Source organism: Homo sapiens, chromosome 12, assembly GCF_000001405.40.
Source record: "Homo sapiens chromosome 12, GRCh38.p14 Primary Assembly".
Lineage (NCBI taxonomy): Eukaryota > Metazoa > Chordata > Mammalia > Primates > Hominidae > Homo > Homo sapiens.
The window spans coordinates 64,597,643-64,614,470 of NC_000012.12; the positions used below are offsets into that span (position 1 = coordinate 64,597,643).

The 16,828-nt window shown below is 46.6% G+C and overlaps 1 protein-coding gene and 1 long non-coding RNA gene across 6 annotated transcripts in view, besides 5 other annotated features; one reads left to right on the top strand and one right to left on the bottom strand.

The window, feature by feature from the left end:
- The window catches only part of RASSF3 (Ras association domain family member 3), a 190,601-nt gene that overhangs the window by 90,679 nt on the left and 83,094 nt on the right, over positions 1-16,828 (top strand). For 2 of the 5 annotated variants that reach the window (NR_040718.2, NM_178169.4), the window contains exon 1: positions 12,853-13,101. The exons of 2 other annotated variants lie outside the window; for them this stretch is intronic. Coding sequence is in view for 2 of the 3 variants with exons in the window: in NM_178169.4 (NP_835463.1) it covers positions 12,991-13,101 (111 nt within the window). In the remaining variant the exon portion in view is untranslated. Of the gene's footprint in view, positions 1-12,852; positions 13,280-16,828 lie in introns of those variants that run through there. One more of the 5 variants, XM_011538195.3, reaches the window with a different exon arrangement.
- RASSF3-DT (RASSF3 divergent transcript) lies at positions 1,436-11,824 on the bottom strand. The gene is made up of 2 exons (NR_187549.1): positions 11,703-11,824; positions 1,436-1,574 (listed from the first exon to the last, which is right to left on the bottom strand). It is a non-coding gene; the product is annotated as an RASSF3 divergent transcript (long non-coding RNA).
- Positions 11,393-11,442: an enhancer, noted in NCBI's record as "active region_6595". NCBI's record gives its function as "activates an Ori minimal core promoter by ATAC-STARR-seq in GM12878 lymphoblastoid cells {active_cell/tissue: GM12878}" and the evidence as "EXISTENCE:reporter gene assay evidence [ECO:0000049][PMID:35858748]".
- Positions 11,663-11,722: an enhancer, noted in NCBI's record as "active region_6596". NCBI's record gives its function as "activates an Ori minimal core promoter by ATAC-STARR-seq in GM12878 lymphoblastoid cells {active_cell/tissue: GM12878}" and the evidence as "EXISTENCE:reporter gene assay evidence [ECO:0000049][PMID:35858748]".
- Positions 12,353-12,422: a silencer, noted in NCBI's record as "silent region_4622". NCBI's record gives its function as "represses an Ori minimal core promoter by ATAC-STARR-seq in GM12878 lymphoblastoid cells {active_cell/tissue: GM12878}" and the evidence as "EXISTENCE:reporter gene assay evidence [ECO:0000049][PMID:35858748]".
- Positions 12,583-13,102: a silencer, noted in NCBI's record as "silent region_4623". NCBI's record gives its function as "represses an Ori minimal core promoter by ATAC-STARR-seq in GM12878 lymphoblastoid cells {active_cell/tissue: GM12878}" and the evidence as "EXISTENCE:reporter gene assay evidence [ECO:0000049][PMID:35858748]".
- Positions 13,313-13,382: a silencer, noted in NCBI's record as "silent region_4624". NCBI's record gives its function as "represses an Ori minimal core promoter by ATAC-STARR-seq in GM12878 lymphoblastoid cells {active_cell/tissue: GM12878}" and the evidence as "EXISTENCE:reporter gene assay evidence [ECO:0000049][PMID:35858748]".

Consider the following 16,828-nt stretch of genomic DNA (forward strand, 5'->3'; position numbering starts at 1 on the left):
AGATGGGGTTTCACCATGTTGCCCAGGCTGGTCTCGAACTCCTGACCTCAGGTGATCCACCCACCTTAGCCTCCCAAAGTGCCGGGATTACAGGCATGCGCCAACCACACCTAGCCTATTTTAAGTGTTTGATTTAGCAGGCAAATAGATTGTGCTTAAGTTTTTGCTAGTGACCTGTCTTCTCCCTGAACTTCCTATTCTATTCCTCTTACGTATCCTTCTCCTTTAAGAATCAAACTAAATCCCACCTCCTTTGAAGGCTTCCTGACCAAATCTTTTATTTATTTTGTTTTGAGACAGAGTCTCACTCTGTCACCCAGGCTGGAGTGCAGTGGTGCAATCTCAGTTTACTGCAACCTCTGCCTCCCGGGTTCAAGCAATTCTCCTTCCACACCTCCCGAGTAGCTGGGATTACAGGCACAAGCCACCATGCCCAGCTAATTTTTTTGTATTTTTAGTAGAGATGGGGTTTCACCATGTTGGCCAAGCTGACCTAGAACTCCTGACCTCAAGTGACTTGCCCACTTTGGCCTCTCAAAGTGCTGGGATTACAGGCGTGAGCCACCTTGCCCGGCCCTTGACCAAATCTTATCACATTCTTCTGACTTTGGCTTATATTTTGACACATTCTTCACAGGTTTATTGATTGGGTAATCACAGTCTGTTATCATTACATAATTGTTCTATGGGGAATATTTTTTTCGTTAACTAGTTTATAAGGTTTTGAAGGCCAGAAATCTATCTAACTCTTCTTTTATGTCTTACCCAGTTTCCATGGTGCTATGCATATAATAAGATCTCAGTACTTAAGGTAGTGAAAGAGTGGATGTAGCTATAGCTATGGCATGGATATAGCACAGCAGGGAACAAGGGAGAACAATTGCTGAATTATATCCATCAGCAATTTTCCTTTGATATGGACAATTTATGCAGCCCAGCTTAGGCTACCACTAAGGCCTCCACAGAAATTCTGAGGGCACTGTTAGGTCTCTTACTTGTATTTATTAAGAAGGCTCAATTTCTCCCTGGAATGCCTTTCTTGAACAAAAAAGCATTTCTATTTTCCTAAAGCTGTTGTCATGAGACACAGATTTCTTTTTTTTTTTTAAATTATACTTTAAGTTCTAGGGTACATGTGCACAACGTGCAGGTTTGTTACATATGTATACGTGTACCACGTTGGTGTGCTGCAACCATTAACTCGTCATTTACATTAGGTATATCTCCTAATGCTATCCCTCCCCCCTCCCCCCACCCCACATCAGGCCCTGGTGTGTGATGTTCCTCTTCCTGGAGACACAGATTTCAAAGTCAGATATGGTCACCAGATCTCTGCCTTGTGTTTGTGATAAACAGTCCTTATTTAGCCACATTTTATTTATTTCTGTTCCCCTCTCTATCTCTTGACGCGCTGAGGTTAAATCTCAAGCAAAAATGTCAGAAATGTCTGTTTATTCTTCCCAGTTTACAAAATGCACGTGGCTGCAGAGATGACATGACTTGACAAGTAGTGGTGACTCTTCACTTTGAGGACAGCATTAATCTCCCAGCCTCAGCTCTGCTTCTAGAAGCCCCTGTAAGACATAATATCACTATGGATGGGTCATAATCATGGTCAATGCCTCATGGCAAAAAAAGTTCAGGATCTCCCTACCTGTATTCAAACTAAGGGATAGATGGCTAAAAGCCCTTAGCAGAAGCGTGGGGGTAGGGAGCACAAATTAATTGCAAGGACTGATCAAAATCAATGTTGGAAAGTTCAATGTCCCAGACAATTGAATAAAAATAATCTTTTCTCTCATTTAAAAACCTCGAATACAATCTCTGTCACACAAAGACACTCTCTAATAACATATTTCAAATCAATTCACTGCAAATCATTTGTGGCTGGAAACCCTTGTGGTTTCCTCTGAAGTTGTCTGACACTCCTCTCACCCTAGGTTGGCTGAGCCCGAAGGCTGTGTAGTGTAGTGATCAGGAGGGTGAACGTGGGAGCTCGGGCTGCCTTGCCGCTTGCCGTTGTAAAGTCTATGCCACGCTTCCAGGGGAAGATGAGAAGTGTTAGGAGGATTAAATGAGTTTAGGAGCGCTCAAAATACTGCCTGATAAGCCGGGCGCGGTGGCTCACGCCTGTAATCCCAGCACTTTGGGAGGCTGAGGCGGGTGAATCACGAGGTCAGGAGATCGAGACCATCCTGGCTAACACGGTGAAACCCCGTCTCTACTAAAAATACAAAAAATTAGCCGGGCGTGGTGGCGGGCGCCTGTAGTCCCAGCTCCTCGGGAGGCTGAGGAAGGAGAATGGCGTGAACCCAGGAGGCGGAGCTTGCGGTGAGCCAAGATCGCGCCACTGCACCCCAGCCTGGGCGAGAGAGAGAGAGACTCCATCTCAAAAAAAAAAAAAAAAAAAAAAGAATAGTGCCTGATACACAGTAAGAGGTCAAAAAATGTTCAATGAATTAATCTTTTTTCCTTATCTGAGGGGTCTTTTCTAGAAAAAATATCTCAGAAGTTAAAAAAACAAACAAACAACTAGCCAGGCACAGTGGCATGCATCTGTAATCCCAGCACCTTTGGAGGTAGAGGCAGGATTGCTTACATCCAGGAGTTCCAGACCAGGCTGGGCAGCATGGGAAATCCATCTCAAAACACACACAAACACACACAGACATACGCACACACATCACCACCAACTGCTCTTCAGGTTTTTGTCCCCCCTGTGGGCTTTCTTTCATTGGACATGAATAAACTAGTACTTTAATGAGCAAACTCATTAAACATACTGAGCAAACAGTATGTGTGTTTACTCGGTAAATTTCCCAACTATTTGAGGAACAACCTGCCTAATTAATTTTTAGTTTCAAATGCCCTTTGGGAGTCCTATATCTTTGCCAAAAAGATCCAAATGTTGAAGTTTGGATTTTGTTTTTTTTCTTTCTCATTTGAGGGAAGCTAGAATTCTCCACTGCTTCCATTCACCATATATGCATCATCTTTGTAGCGTGACTGAAAGAATTAACAAAAATTTTTAACTGTGACCTATATGTACGTAATAATAGTAAGTGGAAATTACCAACAGACATCTTAGACCCCAGTGGTTTTGTGTGGTTTTAGAATTTTTTATTTATGAAGCTATAACTTAGAGTTTTAAAACATTGTTACTATATTTGGTTTCTCAGGCTTAAATTGATTTCTGTCTTTTTCTGATTCGATTACTATGGGAAATCAGTTTTTAGATATAGAGGTGCTATATTGCTTTCTCCTTTCTTCAGTCTTCTCTTAATGTCATTGTAACCTTCCATAGTGCCCAAAACAGGGTCATATTCTATTTTTATCCATCTAGGCCTTATTTAAACTATTTTAGGCTGGGTGCAGTGGCTCATGTCTGTACTCCGAACACTTTGGGAGGCCACAGTAGGAGGACTGCTGGAGCTCAGTAGCTTGAGACCAGCCTGGGCAACACAGGCAGACCATGCCTCAATAAATAAATAAATAAATCAGCTGGGCATGGTGACACACGCCTGTAGTCCCAGCTACTCGGGAGGCTGAAGCAGAAGGATCAATTGAACCTGGGAGGTTGAAGCTATAGTGAGCCATGATCCTGCCACTGCACTCAGCCTAGGTGACAGAGTGAGACCTTGTCTTAAAAATATGTAATAAAAAATTTAAAAAATAGAAACCATTCTAGTAGTTATTGCTATTTCAAAACAAAATATTTTCTACAAAATTGTTCGTGAGAGTCTGCTTTACTACCATGACTTAAGTTTTCAGAAGCTTTAGGTCTGAGGCCCTGCTCTAACGCCATCATCTATGGATGAAGATCCTCATAGTATTAAAATGTAGTTGTTTAAAAAATTTCAATTACCATCTGCCTTTCAGTTTATTTTACTATAAAATTAAGAATATGACTGGGCTTGGCCTGTAACCCCAGCACTATGGGAGGCTGAGGTGGGTGGATTGCTAGAGCCCAGGAATTTGAGACCAGCCTGGGCAACATGGAGGGACCCCGTCTCTACAAAAAATTAGCTGGCGTGATGGTGCGTGCCTGTAGTCCCAGCTACTCAGGAGGCCGAGGTGGGAAGGTCCCTTGACCCTGGGAGGGGGAGGCTTCAGTGAGCTGTGATCAGGCCATTGCACTCCAGCCTGGGCAAGAGAGCAAGACTCTGTCTCTTAAAAATAATTAAGAAATATAAGGCCGGGTGCAGTGGATCATGCCTGTAATCCCCGCACTTTGGGAGGCCGAGGCGGGCAGATCACGAGGTCAGGAGATCAAGACCATCCTGGCTAACAAGGTGAAACCCCGTCTCTACTAAAAATACAAAAAATTAGCCGGGCGTGGTGGCGGGCGCCTGTGGTCCCAACTACTCGGGAGGCTGAGGCGGGAGAATGGGGTGAACCTGGGAGTCAGAGCTTGCAGTGAGCTGAGATCATGTCACTGCACTCCAGCCTGGGTGACAGAGCGACTTCGTCTCAGAAAAAAAAAAAAAAAAATTAAGAAATATTCCATGCATAGGCCAGGTGTGGTGGCTCACGTCTACAATCCTGGCATTTTGGGAGGTTGAGGTGGGAGGATTGGTTGAGCTCAGGAGTTTGAGACTAGCCTGGGAAACATAGTGAGACCTCATCTCTATTTTTTTTTTTTAAATATTATAACAGGGCCAGGCATGGTGGCTCACGCCTGTAATCCCAGCACTTTGGGAGGCTGAGGCGGGTGAATCATGAGGTCAGGAGATCGAGACCATCCTGGCCAACATGGTGAAACCCCATCTCTACTAAAATACAAAAAAAATTAGCTGGGCATGGTGGTGCACACCTGTAGTCCCAGCTACTCTGGAGGCTGAGACAGGGGAATTGCTTGAACCCGGGAGGCGGAGGTTGCAGTGAGCTAAGATCACGCCACTACACTCCAGCCTGGTGCCAGAGCGAGACTCCATCTCAAAAAAAAAAGAAAAAAGAAAAAAAAATGAAAAAAAGTCAGCTCGGAGCAGTGGCACACACAATCTGTAGTCCCAGCTATACACCACGCTGAGCCCAGGAGTTCGAGGCCAGCCTGGGCAACATAGTGAGATCCAATCTCTAAAAATGAAAAAAAGAAAGAAAGAAAGAGAAAACAGAAAGCCTCACAACTAAAGAAGGATTTCTCCCTATACTCTTTACTCTCCCAAACTCAGGGTGTAGGCCAGGCGTGGTGGCTCACGCCTGTAATCCCAGCACTTGGGAGGCCAAGGTGGGTGGATCACAAGGTCAGGAGTTTGAGACCAGCCTCGCCAACATGGTGAAACCACATCTCTACTAAAAATACAAAAATTAGCTGGGCGTGGTGGCAGGCACCTGTAATCCCAGCTACTTGGGAAGCTGAGGCAGGAGAATCGCTTGAACCTGGGAGGCGGAGGTTGCAGTGGACTGAGATCGTACTGCTGCACTTCAGTCTGGGTGACAGAGCAAAACTCTGTCTCAAAAAAAAAGAAAAAAAAAGAGTTGGGAGTGTAGCTCTTCAATTTATCTGTTTGGTTTCTTTAACTTTTTTTTTTGTTGTTGTTGTTGTTTGTTTCTTTATCTTTCAAAGGAGAAAGGTAATTATGACTTGGTCAGAGTAAGCATTAATGTCAAGGGCTTTGAGGGTCTGAGATACAAGGTAACATGATTATGATGATCAAGGATTTTTTCATCAGGTATATGCTTTCCCTTGGCCAGTTCTTATCACAGTAATGAGGAAATGCAGAAGCCTATGATGAAATTCACTTGGACACAGATACCGAACTATGGGGTTTATCTTGCAGTCCTCGTACCAGGTAGTGCCCTTTGCACAAAATATTTCAGCTCATTAGGTCCTAGATATGTTGGATGGACAAATCTAGTGATGGAAAAGCCATTTGCTTTTCTCCCCCACCTTGTCCTATAAACCGGGGTTACCTCCAGGCTCACAGGTAACACATCCTTTCCTTGATTATTGAGGATGTGCCCAAACATGGAAATACTATCCTTATACGTAATCATATTAGCTAACATCATGAGCTTTTATTATGTGCCAGGCACAATGTTTTGCATGTCTTAGTTTACTTAATCCCTTTAAGAATCCTATAAGGTAAGATTTTATTACCCTCCCTTTCCAGATGTAGAACTGAGGTTTAACCAGTTTAGATAATATGCTGTGGGTCACACCATCTGAGCCCACATTTGAACACAGGCAGTCTGATTTCCTTTTTTTTTTCTTTTTCTTTTTTGAGATGGAGTCTTGCTCTGTCGCCAGGCTGGAGTGCAGTGGCACGATCTTGGCTCACTGCAATGTCTGCCTCCTGGGTTCAAGCGATTCTCCTGCCTCAGCCTCCTGAGTAGCTGGGACTATAGGCATACGCCACCACGCCCAGCTCATTTTTGTATTTTTAGTAGAGATGGGGTTTCACCATGTGGGCCAGGATGGTCTCGATCTCCTGACCTCATGATCTGCCCACCTCAGCCTCCCAAAGTGCTCGGATTACAGGTTTTCTTTTTTTTTTTTTTTAGACAGGGTTTGACTCCGTTGCCCAGGCTGGAGTGCAGTGGCCTGATCATGGCTCACTGTAGCCTTGACCTCCCAGGCTCAAGCAATCCTCCCACCTCAGCCTCTTGAGTAGCTGGGACTACAGGCATACACCACCATGCCCGGCTAATTTTTGTATCTTTTGTAGAGACAGGGTTTCGTGATGTTGTCCAGGCTGGTCTCCAACTCCTGCGTTCAAGCTATCTGCCTGCCTCAGCCTCTCCAAATGGTAGGATTACAGGTGTGAGCCACTGTGCCCAGCCCAGGCTGATTTCTCACCCCACATACTTAACAACCAAACACATTGCCTTTCAGTTATTATACCATTTATTCCTGTCATTGCCATGAACAAAATGGAAGCAACCAGGGTGATAGTTGCAGCCAATAGGCACTGACCAAAGAGAACAGCCGCTGATTGTATCGGTTCAACTATTAAGAGCCTGTCCTCCAGCTACCAGGCTGATGTAACCAACTCTTTTTTTTTTTTTCTTTTGAGATGGAGTCTTGCTGTGTCGCCCAGGCTGGAGTGCAGTGGCGCGATCTCGGCTCACTGCAAGCTCCGCCTCCCGGGTTCACGTCATTCTCCTGCCTCAGCCTCCCGAGTAGCTGGGACTACAGGCGCCCGCCACCGTGCCCAGCTAATTTTTTGTATTTTTAGTACAGACGGGGTTTCACCGTGGTCTCGATCTCCTGACCTTGTGATCCGCCCGCCTCGGCCTCCCAAAGTGCCGGGATTACAGGCGTGAGCCACCGTGCCCGGCCATGTAACCAACTCCTATCATCTTTGAGTTTGTCATATATTTTTTTTTTAATTTATTTTATTTTATTTTTATTTTTTTTTTAGGCAGAGCCTTGCTCTGTTGCCCAGGCTGTAGTACAGTGGTGCCATCTCGGCTCACTGCAACCTCCACCTCCCTGGTTCAAGTGATTCTTCTGCCTCAGCCTCCTGAGTAGCTGGGATTGCAGGCACCCACCACATTCAGCTAATTTTTGTATTTTTTTTAGTAGAGATGGGGTATCACCATGTTGGCCGGGCTGGTCTTGAACTCCTGACCTCAGGTGATCTGCCTGCCTCAGCCTCCCAAAGTGCTGGGATTACAGGTGTGAGCCACCACACCCAGCCTGTCAGAATTTTTGAGAGAAATTTTAGAACATATTTTTTTTCCTTTTTAAAGCCAATTTAAATACCTCTGCTATGGGTTGCTTTTTTTTTTAAGGTAAGAAAATGAACTTTCTAAATTATCTTCAGGGGAACAACTTAGCAATCATTTAAAAACTCTTACTTCTTTTTCTATCTGTCTCTACTGATTCTACCAATGTCAATGGAGGAGAACAGAACGTGGCAGAAATATTATGAGAGATATGACTATTCCAGCAGGAACAAAATGATGGGAATATAGGATGATAACAGGTCAACTCAACTGGCTTAAACAAGGCAGTATCTAGGCCGGGCGTGGTGGCTCACGCCTGTAATTCCAGCACTTTGGGAGGCTGAGGCAGGTGGATCAACTGAGGTTGGGAGTTCAAGACCAGCCTGACCAAGATGGAGAAACCCCATCTCTACTAAAAATACAAAATTAGCCAGGGTAGTGGCGCATGCCTGTAATCCTAGCTACTCGGGAGGCTGAGGCAGGAGAATCGCTTGAACCCGGGAGGTGGAGGTTGCGGTGAGCCGAGATTGCACCATTGCACTCCAGCCTGGTAAAAAGAGCGAAACTCCGTCTCAAAAAAAAAAAAAAAAAAAAAGCAGCGAGATAATATCTTATGTCACATAACAAGAAGTCCTAATTAGGGTGGTGTCAAACCTGGTTAATCAAAGAGCTATGAAGTCTTTGTATTGTTCTGCTTTGCCATGGTGTCTATTTTGTCCACAATATGGCTACAGAATTCCTAGGTACCATATGCAAGCATGCAAGATCCAGAGGAAGAAGACATAGTCTTTTTTTGTAGGTTTCTTTTAAAAGTGAGGAACATCTTCCTAAAAGGCACCAAGCCAGGTTTCCTTCTGGTCTCAGTGGTCAGGTCTGTGAGACCTGTCCATGCCTAAAGCAATCCCTGGCAAGGGGAATGGGACCACTACGACTGACTCTGCACGTCAGGCCTTACCCCTGTGAGCTGAGATTGGACTTCTTTTCCCGAGGGGATTCTTGAATTAAAGTCCTTGTTTAGTTAACAAGAAAGAAGTGAGTGATGAATGTTAAGTATGCAATAAGGTCTAATATTTGGGGCAAGAAAGATGAATATTTGCTTGATCCTATTCTATGCCAAGGACTTTGCCTGGATTCTTTCACTTAATCCTTACAGTAAACCAAAGAAAATAAAATGAAGACATTGTCATCCCCATTTTGCTGCTGATGAACCTGAGGCATAGAGAAGTTAATTAAATTGTTAAAGGTCACATAAGAGTCAGTGATAGCCAAGGCAGGCAGATCACCTGAGGTCAGGAGTTTGAGACCAGCCTGGCCAACATGGTGAAACCCTGTCTCTACTAAAAATACAAAAATTGGCCGGGTGAGGCGGTGCGTGCCTGTAATCCTAGCTACTCGGGAGGCTGAGGCGGGAGGATCGCTTGAACCCGGGAGGCAGAGGTTGCAGTGAGCTGAGATCATAGCACTGCACTCCAGCCTGGGTGACAGAGTGAGACTGCGTCTCAAAAAAACAAAACAAAACTTGAACTTGGTTGCATACATTTAATTTTATTTATTCCACCCCCTTCCCTGAATTTGAAATGTTAAAAGTGTCTAGTTGCTTAACATGACATTTTGAATTTTTACAGATACAATTTTCATGAGCTAAATTTTAAATTCACAATATTTTAATTAAAAATGCTACCAGGCTAGGCATGGTGGCTCACACCTGTAATCCCAGCCTTTTTGGAGGCCGAGGTGGGAGGATCACTTGAGCCTAAGAGTTCATCAAGACCAGCCTGGGCAACATAGTGAGATCTTGTCTCTACAAAAAAAATATAAAAATTAGCCAGGCCTGGTGGCATATGCCTGTAGTCCCAGCTACTCGGGAGGCTGAGGTGGGAGGATTGCTTGAGCTTGGGAAGTCGAGGCTGCAGTGAGCCAACATGGCACCACTGCACTCCAGCAACAAAGTGAGGCCCTGTCTCAAAAAAAAAAAAAGCTACCAGAAAAATATGCAAATATCATTATGCTGCTTTTAGGAAACAAAATCACAATTCTTCCTTCCTTTATTTATTTATTTATTTATTTATTTTCTGAGGCAGAGTCTCCCTGTGTCGCCCAGGATAGAGTGCAGTGGCGTGATCTTGGCTCACTGCAACCTCTGCCTCCAGGGCTCAGGTGACTCTCCTGCCTCAGCCTCCCGAATAGCTGGGACAACAGGCATGTGCCATCATGCCCAGCTAATTTTTTTATATATTTTCAGTAGAGATGGGGGTTTCACCATGTTGGTCAGGCTGGTCTTGAACTCCTGACCTCAAGTGATCTGCCGGCCTCAGCCTCCCAAAATGCTGGCATTACAGGCGTGAGCCACCTCACTCGGCCCTTTCCTTTATTTATGTTTTTTTTGTTGCTTAAAAGCAGTGCTTCCATTTCATTATTTGATCATGGCTTTTAAAATTATTTTATTTATTTATTTTTTTAAGAGACAGACTCTTACTCTGTTACCCAGGCTAGAGTGCAGTGGTAAGATCATAGTTCATTACAGCCTCAAACTTCTGGGCTCAAGTGATCCTTCCACCTAGCCTCCTGAGTAGCTGGGACCACTAGCATGTGACACCACATTGGCTAATTTTTTTTTGTTTTTTGTTTTTGTTTTTGTAGAGACAGGGTCTCATTTTGTTGCCCAGGCTGGTCTTGAACTCCTGGCTTCAAGCAATCCTCCCACCTCGGCCTTCCAAAGTGCTGGGATTACAGGCGTAAACCACCATGCCTGGCCTAATCATGCCTTTATAAAAAAATCATTTTTTTTTAGAGAAAAGGTCTCACTATGTTGGTCAGGCTGGATAGGAACTCCTGAGTTCAAGTGATCCTCCACCTCAGCTTCCCCCTGTGCCCCACTCAATCATGCCTTTTTATTATAACTGATTCTGATGGTATGCTGACAGATATACAAATTAATCCAGTCCTTTGGAGCTTAAAAATAATACAATGAAAAAAATCATTTTTATGGTGTGGTGCATCATAAAGTTTATTTATTTATTTATTGAGACGAAGTTTTGCTCTTGTCGCCCAGACTGGAGTGCAATGGCGCCACCTCGGGTCACTGCAACCTAGGCCACTCCGGGTTCAAGCGATTCTCCTGCCTCAGCCTCCCGAGTAGCTGGCGCACGCTACCACGCCCAACTAATTTTTGTAGTTTTAGTAGAGGCGGGGTTTCACCACGTTGGCCAGGCTGGTTTCCAACTCCTGACCTCAAGTGATCCACCCGCCTCTGCCTCCTCAGGCGTGAGCCATCGCGCCCGGCCAATAAAGCATTTTAATGCATTTTTCCTCAAAGTATTCATAAACTTCAACTTGTTCTAGGTAAAATTATTTTCCCCTTTCTACCCACAATAAAATGAGTAATTTAAGCCCTTAACCTACACATTATTCTTACCTTGGAATATTTAATAAGAGCTGCGCTAATATTATATCTGAATAATGAAATAAGAGAAACCAAATAAGAAAAATTTGTCATAAAGCCCTATTCTCCTACATTAGATTATGTGCATGGCACACACACGGATCAGCTTAAGCTGGGTGAAACTATATGGAGTTAGAATTCCTGGCTTCCTATCATTCAGTAGCTGTGTGGCCGAGAAGAAGACTTTAATGTTGTAGGACCTTTAAAATGGGCTGTAACTCAAAGGCCCTCCTTCTGGAGTTGTTGTGAATCACGTGGGGTAATATATACTAGTTTACAAGATGGATGTGTAAGCCCGAAGGTGGAGCAGGTTTGCAAGCCTTCTTTCAGCCTAGGGACAGTAGGATGACTCATGAGTCAATTCTTCTCTCCTTCCCGTCATTTCGGGTCCAACTCTTCCTCCTGTAGTCCACAAAAGAGCACGGCTGACCGATACCAAGCAGAGAACCCAGTAGGGTATGTGACCACGTTCAGATCAACAGAACGCAAAGCAGAACGGTCCGAGTACTGCCTCCTACAGCCACTTTCCTTTCTTTAAGCCTCAGCTGCTGCTCTAGGTGTAAAACCGGCATAAAATAGCACTACGTACCTTGCAGAGTTGCTCGGAGGATTGAAGGAGATAATGTAAGAGAGTTTGGCTAGTTTGGCTATGATGGATGGACATTTTCTCTTTTCTAACGTCTCTCTTCCCCTCCTAATGAAACCTCTTCTGAAGCTCGCTAACTATAGCAGGGCTTGCAGCTTCAAAAAAACCTTTCAGTCAAGATCTTGAAATTAGTATTATTTAAATCAGTGCAGTAACACCAAGGTGTAAAAGACTGTTACCCACTGGTGGCTTTAAGAGGATTAGCTGACTGAAGAGTTTTAGAAAACATGGAAACTTTTTTTGTACGTGGATGGATGGAATTCCCTGATCTCCTTATCCCCACCACTTAAACCATGCCTTGTGGGTGACCGTGGAAGGCTGATTGTGGCGGGGACATTTACAAAGCACATTTAATTGATAAGCACTCGATTGTTCTGTAACTATAGAACTAGTTCACCTTTCAGTTGCACTGAGTGCGCCTAAGATAACGATCTTATTTGGAAGTGAGCCCTCGCTAGAAAGAAGGGGAAAAGGGTAAGACCGAAGCTCAAATGAATGACCAGAAAGGATGTTTTCATTCGAATAAACTCAACCCAGTTTTTGACCTCCCCACCCATCTCTGCCAACTTGAAATCCTCCTGGAGGGGCGAGCTGCTGGGGTTCAGGACTGGGCGTTGCGGCTGCAGGAAGCCGTGGGACCTGGGGGGTCCCTCGGCCGGGCAACCCCCACCCACCCCTACAGGACCCTGGTGCGGGGGCGAGCAGGGAGTGGACGCAGAGAAAGTTCCCCGCTCTGCTCCCGCCCTCTCCGAAACTCGAGCCAGCGAGGCTGGGGGCGGGCGGACGGCTCGCAGAGGAATTTGCAGTTTCCGGGAGGTTGAGGAAGCGACCCGAGCACAGCCCCAGCAGACGCAGCCCTAGCGCCCGGCTTTCCGGGTTCCGCGACGCTGTCGGGAGAAACCCGCGCGCCTGGAAGGGGCGGGCCGGGCTCCCCCCACCTGCGGGCGGGCGGGGAGGGTCGCGGCCGCGCGGGGTGGGGCTCGGCCGGTCGCCCGTCCGGGGCGGGGCCCAGGGAGGCGGGGTCGCGGGCGCACCGGGGCCGAGCCGCGCCTGGAGCCTGGCGGGGAGGCGGCAGGAGGGGCCGGGAGAGCCTGATTGAGCGGCGGCCGCAGCTGCATAAGGACTGCCCGGGGCTGCGCGCCGGGAACCTCGCGGGGCTGGCGGGCGCCGCACCCCCTCCCTGGCCGCCTGCGCCCCGGGGAGGCCGCCCGCGCGCGACGGGACCGGCAGCATGAGCAGCGGCTACAGCAGCCTGGAGGAGGACGCCGAGGACTTCTTCTTCACCGCCAGGACCTCCTTCTTCAGGAGAGCGCCCCAGGGCAAGCCCCGCTCCGGCCAACAAGTGAGTGGCGCGCGGCGGGCGCTGCAGCCCGCGCCCCAGAGTTCCGGGGAACCCGCCAGCCCGCGCCCCCTGCCTCCACGTGTCTCTGCGGGGCGCTCGGGGGATGCTCGCCGGGAAGGAGGAGCGGGCCGAGAAGTGGCTTCTGCCTTTTCGGGTCCCGGGAACGTGCCTGGAGCTTGTGCGTGTAGGCGAGGGAAGGCGGAGGAAGGGCGGGGAGGCTGAGGGCCGGCTTCTGCCTTCCGCGCCAGATGGCCTCTGCAGCTCCGCCTCGGGCTGCCGCCTGCGGGGAGCAGCCCCGGAGCCAGCAGGCGTCCCCGGGCCACTCCCCCAGGTTTCCCCTTCGCGTCCCCGCTGGGTCGACGGTCGGGTTCGCGCGCCTGTCCTTCCTGTTAGTCAGCTTACTCATCTGTGGCCCCCAGAGTGGCTTGGGTCAACGTGTAATAGCTAGGGGTGGCCGGGTGACCTGACCTCCCCTCTTCCTGGCCCGGGCGACCTGGTGGAGTGGGGGTCCAAGGGCACCGTGGGCCTCGCCACCATAGGCTCTCACTAAATCTCCGTTGCGGGACTCAGGGTTGTGCGTTTTCTGTAAAGCTAGGTTTTTTGGTGCCCAGATGTTTTGCAAACAAGCTCCTATGCTAAATACTAGCCAGCGACAGCTAACCTTTTCGCCGGTTTCTTCCTTTTTTGGAGGCAGCATGCCGTGGGAAGCACGAGTTGGGAAAAGATGGGAAGGGAACTTGTGCCAGTTTCGCCAGCTGTAGCCGTGTTTTTTGGGAGGCCTTCCCGAAACGGGGCACGTCGGCTGGACTGAGGAGCCCGGTGCTAGAGCCCGCGGCCTCCTGGCACTAGGAGCCGCACCAGGGGAGCCGGGCCAACCCGGCCACGCTCACATCAGATTACAGAAGATTGTAATGGCACAAATTTGTTGCTTTTAGAAAACAGGCGTTCGCCAAACATTTCTATTAATACCGGACTGAGACCTAGAGACTAGAAGCAAGAAGAATCGTTCAGGGGCCGGATGATAACTTCTTTTGGTGGATGTGGGAGGGTGCAATCTGTCAGGGTGGTCTTGCCAGACCTCTTAAGTTTAGCCACTTTCTGAAGTAAAATTCTTTCTAAAATTCGGAAGTTCTAGTCTTTTCAGGCTCTTAAGTCCCAAACCAGGAGGAGGAGAGGAGACGGTGAAGGGTAAGCTGAAGTCAAGTGCCCTTATTCAGTAACCGCAGTTAATCTCAAGTCCCGGTGCCATAGTTGTCCGTCTTGTATTGTTTCTAAGGCTTAAGGCCCCACTATTTACGAGTCACTTTGAGTGGGATCTCTTACTTTCAGCAGAGTGTGTTCTGAGAGCATGAGATTGCTGTGAAGTTTGGAAGTTGGAAACGCCCTCTCCTCCCCCATGCCCACCCTCCCTGGGTTGTAGAAAAATTGCATTTGCTTATGCTTTTTCCATTTTTGCTTTCTCTTTCTTGGCCTCTCTCTTCCCCTTCTCCGTTTTGCATTTTCTCCTTTCATTTATGTTGCTTTCACCACTTGACATGAAAAGGAACTCATGGTAGTTTGAAGTTTATTCCAGAGGTGTCTGCTAATCTCCTGAAAACTGGCTGGTTCTTGGATTCTCCAGGGGTGAGATGCCACAAGGGCCAAACTATTCAGGTTTGAATTGTATGAGAATCCTTTAGTGCTTTAAAGAGTAAAGACATCAGTTTTTTTCTAGGTTTATATGCATTTAGCGTTTCTTTTTTTTTTTTTTTTTTTGAGATGGAGTCTCACTGTGTTACCCAGGCTGGAGTGCAGTCGTGTGATCTCACTGCAACCTCAGCTTCCCTGGTTCAAGCGATTCCCTTGCCTCAGCTTCCCGAGTAGCTGAGATTACAGGCATGCACCACCACATCTGGCTCATTTTTGTATTTTTAGTAGAGATGGGATTTAACCATGTTGGCCAGGCTGGTCTCGAACTCCTGGCCTCAGGTAATCTGCCCGCCTTGGCCTCCCAAAGTGCAGGGATTACAGATGTGAGCCACCGCCCCCGGCACATTTATTGTTTCTATGTTGTATGCAATCATTTATGTATCATCTAGCATATATATTATACTCAGGGTAGTATTATTTAGCATTTAGAATTAGTCTAACATTAATATGTATTTTGAAATATCGTGTTGGAAATCAGGACAGGAAGACATAGTTCGTGGTTGAAGAGCTTCATATGTGTATTTGAAGCTTTATTGCCTGCATATTTTTCCCTTCTAACATAACACATGTAAGGTGCTGAGTTGTAGAAGTTATTTGCCAGGCAGAGAAAGTGTTCTAAACTACGAATTTTAGTGAGCATTGTGGTTTATTTAAAGAAGTGATATGAATGTTTTAAATTCCTGGTAAGATTGGTGAATTAGGGAAGTAAAACATCATAAATATAAAGCAAAACACTCTTAATGTAGAATGTTCCTTTTATCTAACGTTAGATAAGCCTTTTTCTTCATTTTCATGCTGATGATTATAAGAATAAGATAAGCACTTCTGACATACATCATAGTAGTGAAATTTATCCTTTCTCTAGAGAGATGGAAAGAGAGGTATTGCTAGAAGGATCTATTAGAGATACAGTGATTTTTTTTTTTTTTGGATGCTGTACCACCTGGTGGAAAAGTGAGAAAAATGAGGTTTCTAGATTTCTTGAAAATATCCGGAGAAAACAAGATGTTTGTGGTAAATGCAGAATGGGGAGAAAGGGGTGAGGGAGCGGGTGGACTGGAAATTTCTTTCTTCTCTTGCCAGGCAAGGGAACATAGTGCAACTTCTTTCTATCCCCAACAGTAACAAAAACCTTATAAAGAAAATGTTTTCATTTTTTTTCTTACTTTAAACCCCATTCTTAACAACAAGAACAACAACAAAAATGGAAAAGGGTTAAAAAACCTGTCTAGGCCACGTGTGGTAGCTCATGCCTGTAATTCCAGCACTTTGGGAGGCTGAGATGGGAGGATTGCTTGAGCCCAGGAGTTTGAGACCAGCCTGGACAACATGGTGAAACCCTGTCTCTACAAAAAAAATGCAAAAATTAGTCAGGCATGGTGGTGCTCGCCTGTAGTCCCAGCTACTCGGGAGACTGAGGTGGGAGCATTGCTTAAGGCCGGGAGGCAGAGGTTGCAGTGAGCTGTGATCGCACCACTGCACTCCAGCCTGGGCAACAGAGCGAGACCCTGTCTCAAAAACAAAACTGTCTAAAAGATATAAAGGGAACGAACATATGACGTTTTGTGGCAGTTTGAATGTCATGTTTATTGTATCCGCAGGGTCTCGATCAGTACCTGATATACAGTAGTTGCTCAGTGAATGCAAGCTGAATGAATGAATGTTTTCCTGATTTGATAGTAACTGGGTCTTTACCATTTCTTTTTTTTTTTTTTTTTGAGATGGAGTTTCACTCTTGTTGCCCAGGCTGGAGTGCAATGGCGTGATCTCGGCTCACTGCAACCTCCGTCTCCCGCGTGCAAACGATTCTCCTGCCTCAGCCTCCCGAGTAGCTGGGATCACAGGCACCTGCCACCATATCCAGCTAAATTTTGTAGTAGAGACGGGGTCTCACCATGTTGGCCAGGCTGGTCTTGAATTCCTGACCTCAGGTGATCTGCCCGCCTCGGCCTCCCAAAGTGCTGGGATTACAGGCGTGAGCCACCGCACCTGGCCCCTGATCTTTACCATTTTCAAATGTACTGTATCTTATGGTGCT